The 16,082-nt window shown below is 55.7% G+C and overlaps 1 protein-coding gene across 1 annotated transcript, besides 4 other annotated features; it reads right to left on the bottom strand.

The window, feature by feature from the left end:
- JSRP1 (junctional sarcoplasmic reticulum protein 1) lies at positions 4 to 4,169 on the bottom strand. Its single transcript, NM_144616.4, has 7 exons — positions 4,135 to 4,169; positions 2,958 to 3,096; positions 2,197 to 2,234; positions 1,939 to 2,053; positions 1,372 to 1,545; positions 664 to 755; positions 4 to 548 (listed from the first exon to the last, which is right to left on the bottom strand). Exons 2-7 carry the CDS (start codon positions 3,064 to 3,066, stop codon positions 81 to 83), a joined length of 996 nt encoding a protein of 331 aa, NP_653217.1. The 5' UTR covers positions 3,067 to 3,096; positions 4,135 to 4,169; the 3' UTR covers positions 4 to 80.
- Positions 1,114 to 1,323: an enhancer, noted in NCBI's record as "active region_13668". NCBI's record gives its function as "activates an Ori minimal core promoter by ATAC-STARR-seq in GM12878 lymphoblastoid cells {active_cell/tissue: GM12878}" and the evidence as "EXISTENCE:reporter gene assay evidence [ECO:0000049][PMID:35858748]".
- Positions 3,844 to 3,923: an enhancer, noted in NCBI's record as "active region_13669". NCBI's record gives its function as "activates an Ori minimal core promoter by ATAC-STARR-seq in GM12878 lymphoblastoid cells {active_cell/tissue: GM12878}" and the evidence as "EXISTENCE:reporter gene assay evidence [ECO:0000049][PMID:35858748]".
- Positions 8,237 to 8,376: an enhancer, noted in NCBI's record as "active region_13670". NCBI's record gives its function as "activates an Ori minimal core promoter by ATAC-STARR-seq in GM12878 lymphoblastoid cells {active_cell/tissue: GM12878}" and the evidence as "EXISTENCE:reporter gene assay evidence [ECO:0000049][PMID:35858748]".
- Positions 14,272 to 14,441: an enhancer, noted in NCBI's record as "active region_13671". NCBI's record gives its function as "activates an Ori minimal core promoter by ATAC-STARR-seq in GM12878 lymphoblastoid cells {active_cell/tissue: GM12878}" and the evidence as "EXISTENCE:reporter gene assay evidence [ECO:0000049][PMID:35858748]".

Raw genomic sequence — 16,082 nt, forward strand, 5'->3', positions numbered from 1 at the left:
TGCGGCCGCAGCACTCGCTTTATTTCGCCAGAGTCGCGGGGCGTCCAGAAGGGGCCCCTGGACTCCGGCGCGGGGCCGGCTCAGTCCCGCCCCTTGCCTGCGCGGAGCTTCTGGCGACTCCCAGGCCGCTGCTCCTCGTCGGGACGCCTCGGGGACACCCAGGCCTGCTTCTTCCTGGGCTCGGCGTCCCTGGAGTCCCGTGCCCACGGCCGGTGGCCCCCTTCGCGTGACTCCCAGCGCTGGGGTAGGGCTTCCCGGGGCTCCCTGGCGGCCCGTGGCCTCTCCTCTTTCCGCGGCCTCTCTTTCTTAGGTCTCTCCTCCTTCCGCGGCTTCTCCTTCCGCGGCTTCCCCTCTCTCCGAGGCCTCTCCTTGGGTCCCCGGTCTGCGAGGGTCACACGGTCCTCCCGGACGGCCTCTCCGGTGGCCTCGCCGGGCTCCTCTTCGTCGTTCTCTGCAGCCTCCCGACTCCCGGGAATCTTGGGTCTGACCTCTGCCTCGGCCCGGGGCGCAGGCGGCGCTGATGGAGGCGCCTGGGCCTCGAACTTAGGCTGCAAGACAGAGTGGGGTCCTGGGGTAAGCGCCCACCTTCCCCCCGGCCCGGGCTCCTTCTTTCCTTGGGGATGAAGGTCCCAATGCCCGCGGTCAGTGGAAGGAAGCTCTTACCAGGGGCGACGATGGCTCCCTCGGGGCTGAGCTTGGCGGGACCCAGGGCTCGGGCACACGTGCTTGGAGTGCTGCCTCCCCAGGGACGGCGTCTGCAGCGACAGGGTCGGGACCCGAGTCAGCTGGGCCGAGGCACGGTCCACACTGTCCATCCCTCCCTCACCCCTAGAGCCCCCCTCCCTGGACAGTTGGAGTGGGGCTCCCCCGGTACGGCTGAGACTAAGGATGCCCCCGAGCCGTGGGAAGGGACTCCGGGACTCCGCTGCCGCGGCGCCCCTTCTCCGAACCTCGCTCTTTCAATTGGTCATTCTTCCCCCCGACCACGGGCTGTAGGAGGCCCCTAGCAAGGGAGGGGTCGCAGGAGTGCCCCCGGGGGGCGCTCACGAGCTGAGCGGTCCCCAGAGAGGGCGCAGGGGAAAGGCGGCAGAACGCTACGAGGCAGGAGGGGTTGCACAAGGTTCATCCGGAAGCCAGAACCTACTCGCGGCGAGGGGAATGGGCCCCGCAAAAGGTCCACACCGGGTGAGAGGGGCGCGCAAGGCCCGTCACTTAAGGGGAGATGCACAAACCAACTTTGGGGGCGTGCAAGACCCAGCCCTGGAGAGGAGGCTCCCAGACCCCACCCTGGCGGCACAGCGCCTTTCCTTGGAGGAATAGGCGCACAGGTGGACCCCAGCCTCGCCCCACCTCTGGGGAGCCTGCGCTCACCGCGGCACAGCTGGAAAGCCGAGCCCAGCAGCGCCACCAGCGAGGCGAGCACCAGGCACTTGTTGAGCGACAGGTCTCCCCAGGGCAGCTCCTCGCTCAGGGCCGGGGGCGGCGGCGGCGGCTGCAGGGGCGGCGCGGTCTGCGCCTTCTTGCGCGCGGGGACGCTCCGAGGGCCTGCGGGGGCAAGTGCGCGCTGCGCTGTGGTCACTGGCTCTGTGCCGCCCCCTTCCCCGGGCGCAGGGGACAAGAGACAGGCCTGTGCCCTGAACCCGGCTCTCTCTGCCTGCCTGTGCGGCCCCGGGCGCAGGTGAACCCAGCCCCGGGTGCCCCGCAGCTGCACGGGGATGCCTAGAGTTTCTGGAAGGTAACTTCCCGGAGCTGAGTGGCATAGCTGGTATTATTACGCATTAGTAGAGGCTCCCTGCCCGTTGACTCGCTGCCTGCCACACTTCGACGCCACTCAACCAGGACACCACCCTCCAAGATCCAAGGACCCAGCTCCGGCACCTGAGCCTCACACCAGTCCGTTCCCACCCCACACCTCACCCATGCCTCCTGCAAACCCACTCGCTCCGGCTTTCAGCCTCTCCTTCCCCGTTCCTGGGGTCCCCCTGGCGGCAGGCTCTTTTTCCATCTTCTTGGGCCTGGTGTCCACACTGGGGCCTTCAGCCACCTGAGAGTCCTGTGGTTATCACGAGACATTCCACATGTTTCCTTCCAGTGCCAAACCCTTCCCGTGGGCTTTAGACACCTGCCTCCCTTGGTCGGCTTGTCCCCAACTCCCCAGGCGTCCTGGGTTAAAGGCTGAGGGTCCCAGCTACTCACGTGGGGCACGCTGCCGGAGTCGGCCAGCCTGGGTGTCGCTGTGGGAACACAGGCAGAGTCAAGGTTGTGGGGACCCCCAGGCCAATCCCACCCTCTCCCCTGGCCCTGCTGGGTGACGTGCGGGTGACTAACCCCATCTTATAGATAAGAAAGTAGGTGGAGGCCAGCACAGTGGTTCACACCTGGAATCCAGCATTTTGGGGAGACTGAGGTGGGAGGATCACCTGAGCCCAGGAGTTTGAGACCAGCCTGGGCAACATAGTGAGACCCCATCTCTAAAAAAAAAAAAAAAAAAAAATTAGCGAGGCATGGTGGCCTGCACCTGTGGCCCCAGCTACTTGGGAGGCTGAGGCAGGAGGATCACTTGAGCCTGGGAGGTCAAGGCTGCAGTGACTTATGATCATGTCACTGTACTCCAGCATGGAAGACAGAATGAGGCTCTGTCTCAAAAAATAATAATAAAAATATATAAAAATATAAAGAAAGCAGACAGGCTTGGAGACAGCTTTGCCCAAAGACACCCAGCATTTCAGTGGCAACGTGGGATTCGAACCTAGATCTGTGTGGCCCAGCACCTGTCTTCCTTGGGGGCTCCTTACAGACCCCTGAGGCAGAAATGAGGGCCAGGGGTTGAACATGGGGAGCACACTATAAGCCAGTCCAGTGTGGGAGGCTAAGAAGCTCTAGTCTCTGAAGATGGGCCTCCTGGCTCAAGGGGACCATCAGGGAAGGGCTTCCTCCCGCCAGCGCCACAAGGGTACCTGAAGCCCTGTCCTCCTGGGTCTCGGCCAGCGCAGAGTGGTCCTCCAGGGCCTGGCAGCTGCCCAGGCCGCCATCCAGCTCCTCCCAGGCTCTGGTTGTCATGGACATGGCTGGAGCAGCAGCAGGTCCCAGGCCAGGCTGGGAGGGGTGGGGAACAAGGTCTTGCATTTACTGAGTCTCTGCCACAGGCCTGGGCCTGACCTGGAGGTTCTGCGGACACCAACTAACAGGCCCCGTCCTCCCACCCCTCCTCACTCGGCAAATTCATACTCATGCCAGGCATGGCCCGGCGCCCACTCCAGGCATCTCTCTGACCCCGCATGCCTGCCCTGGGACCCCTCCCTACCGCCCAGCCTCACTGGGGTCCAGTATCCATCAGTACAGTAGCCCAGGCTGCTCTGGCCCAGAGAGGGCGGGAGCCCCTGCAGGACAACACAGCAATGAGTCCCAGACGCACCCCAAACCGAAACTCTTGGCCCCAGAGTCAGCTCATGTTCTCTGAGACCAGGGACTATTTTTATCTGGTGCCTGAGGCCAGCGGGACAGGCTAACAGGTGCCCCAGCCCCTCCCAGGCCTCTGCTCTCATGGGGTCTCCCTCTGGGCCACCCTGACTTGCCATTCTGGGCACCCACATCCTGCTGCGTGACCCTGTGAGTCTACAGGCTCAGGCCCCAGCAGCAGAACCATCCTGGCTCTGGTCGTGACAGGCCGGGGCAGGGGAGGAGGGTCCCGGTTGTGGTTGGGGGTCTTCTGATCCTGACACAGAGTACCCTGCCTTGTCCCACTAACTCTGTTCCCATAGGACAGATGAGGAAACCGAGGCTAGAGACAGTGCCATTGGCTGGAGGTCGCAAGGAGCTTCAAGTCAGACCCAAAGCTGTACTCTTCAGGGTCCCCATGGCCTCTGGCTGCTGGGATTAGGGTGTCCCTGTATCTAGGCTGAAAAACCACCCAGCCCTGGGGCTCCAAGACCTGGAAGGGGCCTATTGCGTGGCAGTGGGGGAGGGGCCCAAGAAGCATGGGAGGCTGGTGTGTGGCCCCTGGGTGTGCATGGGGGCAGCTCCAGGAATTGGGGACCCTTACAGTCCTCTGCAACACCCCTTCACACCCCGGGAGCCCACACCTCTGCCCGGGATTCCCCCAGCCTCACTTCCTTACCCCCGAGCCTCGCTTACCCGCCAGCCGCTTTGCTGAGCCTTGTGGACAGGACGGAGGATGGGGAGGGTGGCCCCGTGATGGACGGCAACAGGTGGCCAGAGACCGCGGGTGGGCCAATCAGCATGCCCGCTGGAGTGAGGTCACAGCCGGGGAGTCCCCCACCCTTCCCTGCCATTGCAGCAGGGCAGGGCATTGCTCCTACTCAGCACTCGCCACTGCCACCCAGGGAGACGTAGCGCCTGCAGCTGGGACTACAGGCGCGCACCATCACACCCGGTAAGTTTTCAATTTTTTTTGAGACGGAGTCTCGCTCTGTCTCCCAGGCTGGAGTGCGGTGGCGCGATCTCCACTCACTGCAAGCTCCGCCTCCCGGGTTCACGCCATTCCCGTGCCTCAGCCTCCCGAGTAGCTGGGACTACAGGCGCCCGCCACCGCGCCCGGCTAATTTTTTTTGTATTTTTAGTAGAGATGGGGTTTCACCGTGTTAGCCAGGATGGTCTCGGTCTCCTGACCTCGGAATCCGCCCACCTTGGCCTCCCAAATTGCTGGAATTACAGGCGTGAGCCACTGCACCCGGACTAATTTTTGTATTTTTTTTTCAGTAGAGACAGGGTTTCCCTATGTTGGCCAGGCTGCTCTCGAACTCCTGACCGCAAGTAATCCATGTGATCCGCTCGCCTTGGCCACCCAAAGTGCTGGGATCCCAGGCGGGAGCCCCTGCAATGCATTCATTCCTGCTGTTTAAAGCCACTGTATTTGGGGTCATTTGTTTCTGTGGCTCTGGCAGGCTCATACACTCGGAACTGCCTGCTCCCACACCGTCATGCAGAGAAACCTGACGCCTCTGCTCTGGAGAGGACCCGGGGTCTCTCAGCCCCCAAAGGCACATTCTAAGGCCTGCAGGCAGATGTTTGAGCCCTACCTGCAAAGCATGGTGACTCTGGGAGTCCTGAGGGAAGAGGGGAAGTGGATTTTGGTGGTGAGGCCTGTGTGTTAAAAATCCTGAGTGAATGGCCGGGCGCGGTGGCTCACGCCTGTAATCCCAGCACTGTGGGAGGCTGAGGCGGGCGGATCGCCTGAGGTCGGGAGTTTGACACCAGCCTGGCCAACATGGTGAAATCTTGTCTCTATTAAAAATACAAAAATTAGTGAGGCGTGATAGTGGATGCCTGTAATCCCAGCTACTGGGGAGGCTGAGGCAGGAGAATTGCTTGAACCCGGGAGGTGGAGGTTGCAGTGAGCCGAGATCACATCATTGCACTCCAGCCTGGGCGACAGAGTGAGACTCTGTCTCAAATAATAATAATAATTCTGAGTGAATAGGGCCTCCCCAGGAACTACCAAGAGACCCAGAAGGCCAGCCCGCCTTCAGCAAAGCAAGGGCTGGGGTTCCCTGGTCCCCACTCCCTCCGCTTTAGAAACGGCTCTCGGCCGGGCGCGGTGGCTCACGCCTGTAATCCCAGCACTTTGGGAGGCCAAGGCAGGTGGATCACAAGGTCAGGAGATTGAGACCCTCCTGGCTAACACGGTGAAACCCCGTCTCTACTAAAAATACAAAAAATTAGCTGAGTGTCGTGGCGGGCGCCTGTAGTCCCAGCTACTCGGGAGGCTGAGGCAGGAGAATGGCGTGAACCCGGGAGGCAGAGTTTGCAGTGAGCCGAGATGGCACCACTGCACTCCAGCCTGGGCGACAGAGCGAGACTCTGTCTCAAAAAGAAAAAAAAAAAGAAATGGCTCTCATTTTTTTCTGTATGACACAAGGCAGAGACAAACAGGAAACAAAGAGAAGCTGAAAGCAAAAACTGTAAAGCACCTGTCATCTTCCCGCCCCCAAACAGACACTGTTTAATAGTTTGACATGTTCTTTCCGCTGTTTGTAACTTGTGATTTTATTATTAGTTCCATATTTATTTTTATAAAGCTGGCATAATTAGCGAAGGGCTGAACATCTTGTTTGTAACCTAGATTTATTTTTTCTTCCTAAAAGTTTTTTTGTTGTTGTTGAGATGGAGTCTCTCTCTGTCACCCAGGCTGGAGTGCAATGGCGCGATCTCGGCTCACTGCAACCTCTGCCTCCTGGGTTCAAGCGATTCTCCTGCCTCAGCCTCCCGAGGACCTAGGATTACAGGCATGCACCACTGCGCCTGGCTAATTTTCATATTTTTAGCAGAGATGGGGTTTCACCATGTTAATCAGGCTGGTCTCAAACTCCTGACCTCAGGCGATCTGCCCACTCTGGCCTCCTGAAGTGTTGGGATTACAGGCGTGAGCCACAGTGCTTGGCCCCTCCTAAAAGTATATTACAGCTTGGCAGTTCCTCAAAAAGCTAAAATAGAATGACCATAAGATGCAGAAACTCTACTCCTAGGTATCTACGAAAAGGAATCCGAAGCTTGGACTCAGATATTTGCACACCCAAGTTCAGGGCAGCACGATTCTCCGCAGCCACATGGTGTAGGCAGCTCTAGCGTTCCATCCTCAGATACACGGATCAACACAGCGTGGCCCTTCCACACGGTGAAGTACGACACAGCCGTGAACAGGAACGAGGCTCTGACTGCGGCCATGGCGTGAATGCACTTTAAGGATGTCACGCTCGGTGAGAGGTGCCAGACACAGAAGGCCATGCTGTATGTGATCCCATTTCTATGAAATGTCCAGGACAGGGCCGGGTACAGTGGCTCATGCCTGTAATCCCAGCACTTTGGGAGGCCAAGGTGGGTGGATCACGAGGTCAGGAGATCGAGACCATCCTGGCTAACACGGTGAAACCCCGTCTCTACTAAAAATACAAAAAATCAGCCGGGCGTGGTGGCGGGCGCCTGTAGTCCCAGCTACTTGGGAGGCTGAGGCAGGAGAATGGCGTGAACCCGGGAGGCGGAGCTTGCAGTGAGCTGAGATCACGCCACTGCACTCCAGCCCGGGCGACAGAGCGAGACTCCGTCTCAAAAAAAAAAAAAAAAAAAAAAAGAAATGTCCAGGACAGGCCAATTCACAGAGACAGGAAGGGGATTTGTGGGTGCCGGGGCTGGGAAGGGGATGGGGAGTGATGGCTGATGGGGATGGAGCTTCATTTAGGGTGACAAGAATGTTCTGGAATAAGACAGGGGTGGTGGTTGCTGAGTCATTTCACTTAGGATGATGATCTCCAGCTCCATCCATGTTGCTGCAAAATATGATTTCATTTGTTTGTTTTTTGAGACAGGCTCTCATCTCCGTCACCCAGGCTGGCATGCGTTGGCGCAATCAGGGCTCACTACAGCCTCAGCCTCTTCAGCTCAGGTGGTCATCCCACCTCAGCCTCCTGAGTAGCTGGGACCACAGGTGCCTGACACCACACGCAGCTAATTTTTTATTTTCTATTTATGAGACAGAGTCTCACTCTGTGGCCCAGGCTCCAGTGCAGTGGGGCCATCTCTGCTCATTGCAACCTCTGCCTCCCAGGCTCAAGCGATTCTCCTGCCTCAGTCTCCTGAGGAGCTGGGATTACAGGCATATGCCACCATGCCCAGCTAATTTTTTTTTTTTTTTGAGATGGAGTTTCGCTCTTGTCACCCAGACTGGAGTGCAGTGGCACAATCTCGGCTCTCTGCAACCTCTGCCTCCCGGGTTCAAGTGATTCTCCTGCCCCAGCCTCCCAAGTAGCTGCGATTACAGGTGCCTGCCACCACATCCAGCTAATTTTTGTATTTTTAGTAGTGACAGCGTTTTGCCATGTCGACCAGGCTGGTCTCAAACTCCTGACCTCAGGTGATCCACCTGCCTCGGCCTCCCAAAGTGCTGAGATTACAGGCGTGAGCCACTGCGCCCAGCTGCTAATTTTTGCATTTTTAGTAGAGATGGTGTTTCACCATGTTGCCCAGGCTGGTCTCGAACTCCTGGGCTCAAGTGATCCACCGGCCCTGGCCTCCTGAAATGCTGGGATTACAGGTGTGAGCCACCACGCCCTGTCTCTATGCTTAACTTTTTGAAGAGCCACCAGTCTCTCTTCCAAAGCGACTGAACTGTTTTACCTGCCCAGCAGCCATACAGGAGCGTTCCAACTTCTCCACGTCCAACTCGTCATTTTCCAGTTTCTTTGTTTGTGTTTTTATTGCCAGCCTAGTGGGTGTGAACGGCATGATCTCATTGTGGTTTCGATTTGCATTTCTCTGGTCAAAATAAATAGCTTTTTTTTTTTTTAAGAGACCAGGTCTCCCTATGTTAGCGAGGGTAGTCTGAAACCCTTGGCCTCAAGCAATCCTCCTGCCTTGGCCTCCCAAAGTGCTGGGATCACAGGCGTGAGCCACCGCGCCCAGCCTCAACAGCATTTTCACCTTCTTATTCTCATAGTGTCTCCCTTTGCATTCCTTTCCTGGAAGGCTCAGCTTTCCCAGAAGCAAAGCCTGGACACGGGGCCTCTGTGGGACTTTCTTTTTTTATCTTTTTTTTTTTTGAGACGGAGTCCAGCCCTGTTGCCCAGGCTGGAGTGCAATGGCGCAATCTCGGCTCACTACAACCTCTGCCTCCTGGGTACAAGCAATTCTCCTGCCTCAGCCTCCCAAGTAGCTGGGATTACAGGTGCGCACCACCATGCCCAGCTAATTTTTTGTATCTTTAGTAGAGATGGGGTTTCACCATGTTGGCCAGGGTGATCTTGAACTCCTGACCTAGTGATCCACCTGCCCCGGCCTCCCAAAGTGCTGGGGTTACAAGTGTGAGCCACTGAGCCCGGCCTGGACTTTTTTTTTTTTTTAAGACTGAGTCTGCCCAGGCTGGAGTGCAGTGGCACAATCTCGGCTCACTGCAACCTCTGCCTCCCAGGTTCAAGTGATTCTCCTGCCCCAGCCTCCCAAGTAGCTGGGATTACAGGTGCATGCCACCACACCCAGCTAATTTGTGTATTTTTAGTACTGACAGGGTTTTGCCATGTCATCCAGGCTGGTCTTGAATTCCTGACCTCAGGTGATCCTCCTGCCTCGGCCTCCCAAAGTGCTGGGATTACAGGCATGAGCCACCACACCCGGCCTATTTTTGCTAATTTTGTGAAGAACAGTGTCAGCTGAGGGCACTGACTCTGGATGGAGACGACTCAGATTCTGACCCTGACTCCACTGCTGCCTGGCTGTGCCACAGTTTCTTTTCCTGTAAAATGGAAATAAAATGGAGACCCCACCTCCTGGGGTCCTTGTGAGCATTAAGCCAAGCACGGGGACAGGTGCTTGGCTCCTGTACACAGCTTGAGCTGTGTACTCATATTGTTATCGCTGCCATGACAAAGGTGCGGAAGCCACTGAGGCTGTGAGATTCCGCACCCCGTGGAAGCCCAATGGTGACACCCCCCACAGCAGGGTCCTTCCAGCCTCTGGAACACAAAACACCTGAGTGGGAAACCCCCAGGGGACCCTCAGCATGGGCCACTGAGGCAGGAGGTTGAGAACTGTGGGGAGTGCTGGGCAGTGGCCAACTTCCTGCCTCTGCCAGGGCAGCACACCAGTTTCATTTGTGTCCACCCTACTTGTTCTCAGGGAGAGGTGGCTCCTTTCCTGGGGTGACTTCTAGGCTGGGGCATTTAATTGCTAGTGTGAGATCTTCCAGGGTCTTCCTCTCTTGGCCATAGTGACGTTCAAGATGGCAGGGGAGGTGAGCAGCGCCCCCTAGGGCCTGAGAAGCTCATGGAGCAAGAACAAGAAATAGACCTTTCCTGGTTTGCAGGTGTGTTTACAATTTTTTTGTTTTGTATTTATTTATTTATTTTAAAAATTTTATTCATCTATTTATTTTTGAATGGGGGTCTTGCTATATTGCCCAGGCAGGTCTTGAACTCCTGGACTCAAGCTATCCTCCTGACTCTGCCTCTCTAAGAGCTGGCATTATAGGTGTGAGCCACCATGCCTGGCCCGTTTTGTTTTGTTTTTTAAAGAGATAGGGCTGGGCACAGTGGCTCACACCTGGGAGGCCGAGGCAAGTGGATCACTTGAGGCTCGGAGTTCAAGAGCAGCCTGGGCAACGTAGCAAGACCCTGTCTGTACAAGAAAAAGAAAAAAAAAGAAAAGAAAAACAATAAAAAACAATTTTACGACTGGGCGTGGTGGCTCACGCCAGTAATCTCAGCACTTTGGGAGGCCGAGGCGGGTGGATCACGAGGTCAGGAGTTCAAAACCAGCCTGGCCAAGATGGTGAAACCCCATCTCTACTAAAAATACAAAAGAAATTAGCCAGGCGTGGTGGCAGGTACCTGTAATCCCAGTTACTTGGGAGGCTGAGGCAGAGAAGTGCTTGAACCCGGGAGGCAGAGGTTGCAGTGAGCCAAGATTGCGCTACTGCACTCCAGCCTGGGTGACTCCGTCTCAAAAAAAAAAAATTTACAAAAGTAAAGGTCAAACTCCATGAAAATAGAGACATGGACAATGTGGGGCAGGAAATACTGAAGAGCCGCAGAGAATGAGGTTCAGATGCTCTGCGCATAAAGCTTTCTTCCTTTTTCTATAACAAACCTTTGTGAATGCATTAGGCCAGGCACGGTGGCTCACACATGTAATCCCAGCACTTTGGGAGGCTGAGCCACGAGGATCACCTGAGCCCAGGAGTTTGAGACCAGCCTGGGCAACATGGTGAAAACCCATCTCTACAAAAATACAATAAAATAAACATGACAAATACTGCAAAATAAAATCCTGAAAATTATAGCAAGGGGCAAAACCATAAGAAATATAGGCTGGGCGCGGTGGCTCACCCCTGTAATCCCAGAATTTTGGGAGGCCGAGGCGGGCGGATCACCTGAGGTTGGGAGTTCCAGACCACCCTGGACAACATGGTGAAACCCCATCTCTACTAAAAATACAAAAATTAGCCAGCCGTGTGGTGCACGCCTGTAATCCCAGCTACTGAGGAGGCTGAGACACGATAATCCCTTGGACCTGGCAGGTGGAGGTTGCAGTAAACTGAGATGGCGCCTCTGCACTCCAGCCTGGGGGACAGAGTGAAACTCCATCTCAAAAAAAAAAAAAGAGGCCGGGCGCGGTGGCTCACGCCTGTAATCCCAGCACTTTGGGAGGCCGAGGCGGGCGGATCACGAGGTCAGGAGATTGAGACCATCCTGGCTAACACAGTGTAACCCCGTCTCTACTAAAAATACAAAAAATTAGCCGTGCATGGTGGCGGGTGCCTGTAGTCCCAGCTACTCAGGAGGTGGAGGCAGTAGAATGGCGTGAACCTAGGAGGCAGAGCTTGCAGTGAGCTGAGATCGTGACACTGCACTCCAGCCTGGGCGACAGAGGGAGACTCTGTCTGAAAGAAAAAAAAAAGAAATATAAGTACGGTAAAGGGAAAAACAACAACTTGCTCGAGATAAGCCCTGTTTACTTGGGGGCCTCGCTTTTCCATGTGTGTTTGCCCAGCTCATCCTGAGGCTGCCCACACGGCTGTGGGTCCTGCTTTATCACCCAGCAGCAGATGCCTCTGCGGCTTTGTGGCCAAACCCTGGCCCTGCACAGCCTCCTTGTGGCCTGAGCTTATTGCAGGCTGCACGGTGCACATTACAAATGGTCAGTTGGAGGCCAGGCGCGGTGGCTCACGCCTGTAATCCCAGCACTTTGGGAGGCCGAGGCGGGTGGATCATGGGGTCAAGAGATCGAGACCATCTTGGCTAACATGGTGAAACCCCGTCTCTACTAAAAATACAAAAAATTAGCCGGGTGTGGTGGGGGTCACCTGTAGTCCCAGCTACTTGGGAGGCTGAGGCAGGAGAATGGTGTGAACCCGGGAGGCGGAGGTTGCAGTGAGCCGAGATTGTGCCACTGCACTCCAGCCTGGGCGACAGGGCAAGACTCCGTCTCAAAAAAAAAAAAAAAAAAAGTTGGTTCAGCCTGGCGCGGTGGCTCACGCCTGTAATCCCAGCACTTTGGGAGCCCGAGGCGGGCAGACCACGAGATCAAGAGATCGAGATCATCCTGGCCAACATGGTGAAACTCCGTCTCTACTAAAAATACAAAAATTAGCCAGGCGTGGTGGCCTGTGCCTGTAATCCCAGCTACTTGAGAGGCCGAGGCAGGAGAATCGCTTGAACCTGGGAGGTGGAGGTTGCAGTGAGCCGAGATCACGCCACTGCACTCCAGTCTGGGTGACAGAGCAAGACTCCGTCTCAAAAAAAATGGTCGGTTCCCCAGGAGGCGGAGGTTGCAGTGAGTGGCCACTGCACTCTAGCCTGTGCGACATGTCAAAAAAAAAAAAAAAAAAAGGCCGGTTCTTGTTTACTTCCCTTTTTCTTCCCCACACTGTTTGCTCAAAAGAGTTCAAGCGCCTTCTGAGTTTTTCTTCAGGAGACAGAGCCAGGCTTGAATATAATGCCAGGCAGGAACACATGGAGAAAAGGAGGCCCAGATTCTGCCTTATTTTCCTGATTTTTCTTTTTTTTTTTTTTTTTTGAGATGGAGCCTCTCTCTGTCACCCAGGCTGGAGTGCAGTGACGCGATCTCGGCTCACTGCAAGCTTCGCCTCCTGGGTTCACACCATTCTCCTGCCTCAGCCTCCCGAGTAGCTGGGACTACAGGCACCCACCACCGCACCCGGCTAATTTTTGCTGTATTTTTAGTAGAGACGGGGTTTCACCGTGTTAGCCAGGATGGTCTCGATCTCCTGACCTCGTGATCCGCCTGCCTTGGCCTCTCAAAGTGCTGGGATTACAGGCGTGAGCCACCACGCTTGGCCATTTTCCTGCTTGCTTTCATTTTTTTTTGAGACAGTGTCTTGCTCTGTCCCCCAGGCTGGAGTGCAGTGGTGTGATCACAGCTCACTGCAGCCTTGACCTCCTGGGCTCAAGTGATCCTCTTGGTTCAGCCTCCCAAGTAGCTGGGATCACAGATGCCCACCCAATCCCAGCTAATTAAAATTTTTTTAATTTTTTAAAATTTCTAGAAGTTTTTAAAATTCTCAACAAAGTGAGAACCTAGAGATAGGGTCTTGCTATGTTGGCCAGGCTGGTCTGCAACTCCTGGGCTCAAGCGATCTTCTTGCTTCAGCCTCCCAAAGTGCTGGGATTACAGGCGTGAGCCACTGTGCGCGGCCCCAATCCTTCTTTATTTTTACCTGTTTACATTTTATTTTATTTAACTCATTATTATAATTCTTTTAGAGACAAGGTCTCCCTCTGTCACCCAGGCTGCAGTGCAGTTGAGAGACCATAGTTCACTGCAGCCTTGACCTTCCTGGCTCAGGGGATCCTCCTGCCTCAGCCGCTGGAGTAGCTGGAACTACAGGTGTGCACCACCATGTCCCTAATTTTTAAATTTGCTGCAGAGATGGGGTCTGGCTATGTAGCCCTGGCTGGTCTTGAACTCCTGAGCTCAAGCGATCCTCTTGCCTCTGCCTCCCAAAGTGCACACCGGGCCCACATACCCTCTTTTAAATCAGAGTCAGCCGGGTGCGGTGGCTCACGCCTGTAATCCCAGCACTTTGGAAGGGTGAGATGGGTGGATCACCTGAGTTCAGGAGTTCGAGACCAGCCTGACCAATATGGTGAAATCCCGTCTCTACTAAAAATACCAAAATTAACTGGGCCTGGTGGCGTGAGCCTGTAATTCCCAACTACTTGGGAGGCCGAGGCAGGAGAATCACTTGAACCTGGGAAGGGGAGGTTGCAGTGAGCCGCCGAGATCATGACCCTGAACTCCAGCCTGGTGACAAAGTGAGACTCTGTCTCAAAAACCAAACAGCCAGGTGCGGTGGCACACCTGTAATCCCAGCACTTTGGGAGGCACGTAGATCATGAAGTCAGGAGTTTGAGACCGTCCTGGCCAATATGGTGAAACCCTGTCTCCACTAAACACAAAAATTAGCCGGGAATGGTGGTGCACGCCTGTAGTCCCAGCTTCTCGGGAGGCTGAGGCAGGAGAATCGCTTGAACCCTGTAGGTGGAGGTTGCAGTGAGCCAAGGTTACGCCACTGCACTCCAGCCTGGGCTACAGGTGAGACTCTGTCTCAAAAAAAAAAAAAAAAAATCAGTCCATCAATCAATCAATCAGAGTCATACTCTCTGCGTCCTCTGCCAGCAGCCGTATCCCCTCAACCTTGATTTCAGAAGAAAACCCAGGCATGGGCCCTCTATCCTTGACCACCCCACATCCTCTGCTGTCCCTTTCAGACAGTTCAAGCCTCACCACCTCCAGAGAAAGATATGCCTCTTTCTCTCCCTGCTGTCCGGGAGGCCCCTCACCAGTCACAGACTCCCCAGCTCCCAGCAAAGCACCTCCCACCCTGGGGAGTTTCTGGGGAACCCGGCCAGGTGGGCCAGCAGGGCGCAGTTGCTGATCCTAGCGCTCATCCCACGTGGCCTGGCCAGTGTGGGGGTGGCCCTTCTAGAAGCCTCACAGCATTGGCAGGCGGCCATCAGAGGCAGGCAGGAGGAGGAAGTGAGAGCTGCTGCAGTCAGGATGGAGGGATGGGGCTCCCTGGTCGTGGCTGTTCTGGAAATCGCACCGGTGACCTGTTCATTTCGAGCAGGCTCTTGCCTCTGTTCCCAGAGGAGGTCCTCAACTTAGGGGCGTCATTCTGCCCCCAAGGGACATTGGATGATGTTTGGGACATTTCTGGTTGTCATGACTTGGAGTGCTCCTGGCATGGAGTGGGTGGAGGCCAGGGACGCTGCTCAGTACCCTGCAGTGCCCAGGACGCTGCAGTCCAGCCTGGCAACAGAGCGAGACTCCGTCTCAAAAAACAAAAAAACAAAAAAAAAAGCAATCCACACCCTGAGTGGGGAAGGAGAGAGGAGAAGCATCCCAGGAGCTGGGGCCCTCCTGGTTCATACCATTTGCCCAGGATGCCCCACCCCAGAGAACAATCCAAGCCCAATGTCCACGGGTCCGAGGGAGGAGACCCTGAGTTAATTATTTGAAACAGAGTCTGTTCTCTGCTCACACCAGACACCAGAATAAACTCCTTTTTTTTGAGATGGAGTCTCGCTCTGTAGCCCAGGCTGGAGTGTAGTGGTGCAATCTTGGCTCACTGCAACCTCCACCTCCCGGGTGCCAGTTCAAGCAATTCTCCTGCCTCAGCCCCCTGAGTAGCTGGGATTACAGGCACGCGCCACCATGCCCAGCTAATTTTTGTATTTTTAGTAGAGACGGGGTTTCACCATGTTGGCCAGACTGGTCTTGCACTCCTGACCTCGTGATCCACCCGCCTCGGCCTCCCAAAGTGCTGGGATTACAGGCGTGAGCCACCGTGCCCAGCCTCAGGATAAACTCCTAATGGGGCAAACGGTATAAACCAGGAGGCCCCCAGCTCCTGGGATGCTTCTCCTCTCTCCTTCCCCACTCAGGGTGTGGATTGCTTTTTTTTTGTTTTTTTTGTGACAGAGTCTCGCTCTGTCACCAGGCTGGAGTGCAGCGGCGCCATCTCAGCTCACTGCAACCTCTGCCTCAAGGTGTGGATTTCAACGTGCGCAGTCTCCTGGGACCTCAGCAGGGCAGAGGATCATGGGATGCAGAGTCTCTTGGGGGGGTCCGTGGAATCCCCTAACTCGGGAGTCTCACCCAGGGTGATTCTGCCCCCGCCAAGGGACACTGGGTGATGTCTGCGGATACTTGTGGTTGTCACAACTGGGGGTGCTCAAGGCATGGAGTGGGTGGAGGCCAGGGACGCTGCTCAGCGCCCTGCAGTGCCCAGGGCGGCCCCAAATGTCAACCGCAGGAGTTAATTTCTGCCTCAACACCTGAATAGCGAATGCTCGTAGCAGAGATGCAACAACAGCCTTCTGGTGCAGTACGAAATCTCGAAAGACAGGCAGGCGCGGTGGCTCACGCCTGTTAATCCCCAAACTTTGGGAGGTCGAGGCAGGCGGATCACCTGAGGTCAGGAGTTCCAGACCAGCCTTGCCAACATGGTGAAACCCCATCTCTACTAAAAATACAAAAATTAGCCGGGCGTGGTGGCGGGCACCTGTAATCCCAGCTCCTCAGGAGGCTGAAGCAGGAGAATCGCTTGAACC

The sequence above is a fragment of the Homo sapiens genome, chromosome 19, assembly GCF_000001405.40.
Source record: "Homo sapiens chromosome 19, GRCh38.p14 Primary Assembly".
NCBI classification, from domain to species: Eukaryota; Metazoa; Chordata; class Mammalia; order Primates; family Hominidae; genus Homo; species Homo sapiens.

What these genes read in the sequence shown, in the direction of transcription:
- JSRP1 (NM_144616.4), bottom strand. Translation starts at nt 3,066, where the DNA reads ATGTCCATGACAACCAGAGCCTGGGAGGAGCTGGATGGCGGCCTGGGC. An exon ending in ACTCCGGCAGCGTGCCCCAC is followed by an intron (nt 2,054 to 2,196) that starts GTGAGTAGCTGG and finishes TGATAACCACAG; the next exon opens with GACTCTCAGGTGGCTGAAGG. An exon ending in GGCTTTCCAGCTGTGCCGCG is followed by an intron (nt 756 to 1,371) that starts GTGAGCGCAGGC and finishes CTGTCGCTGCAG; the next exon opens with ACGCCGTCCCTGGGGAGGCA.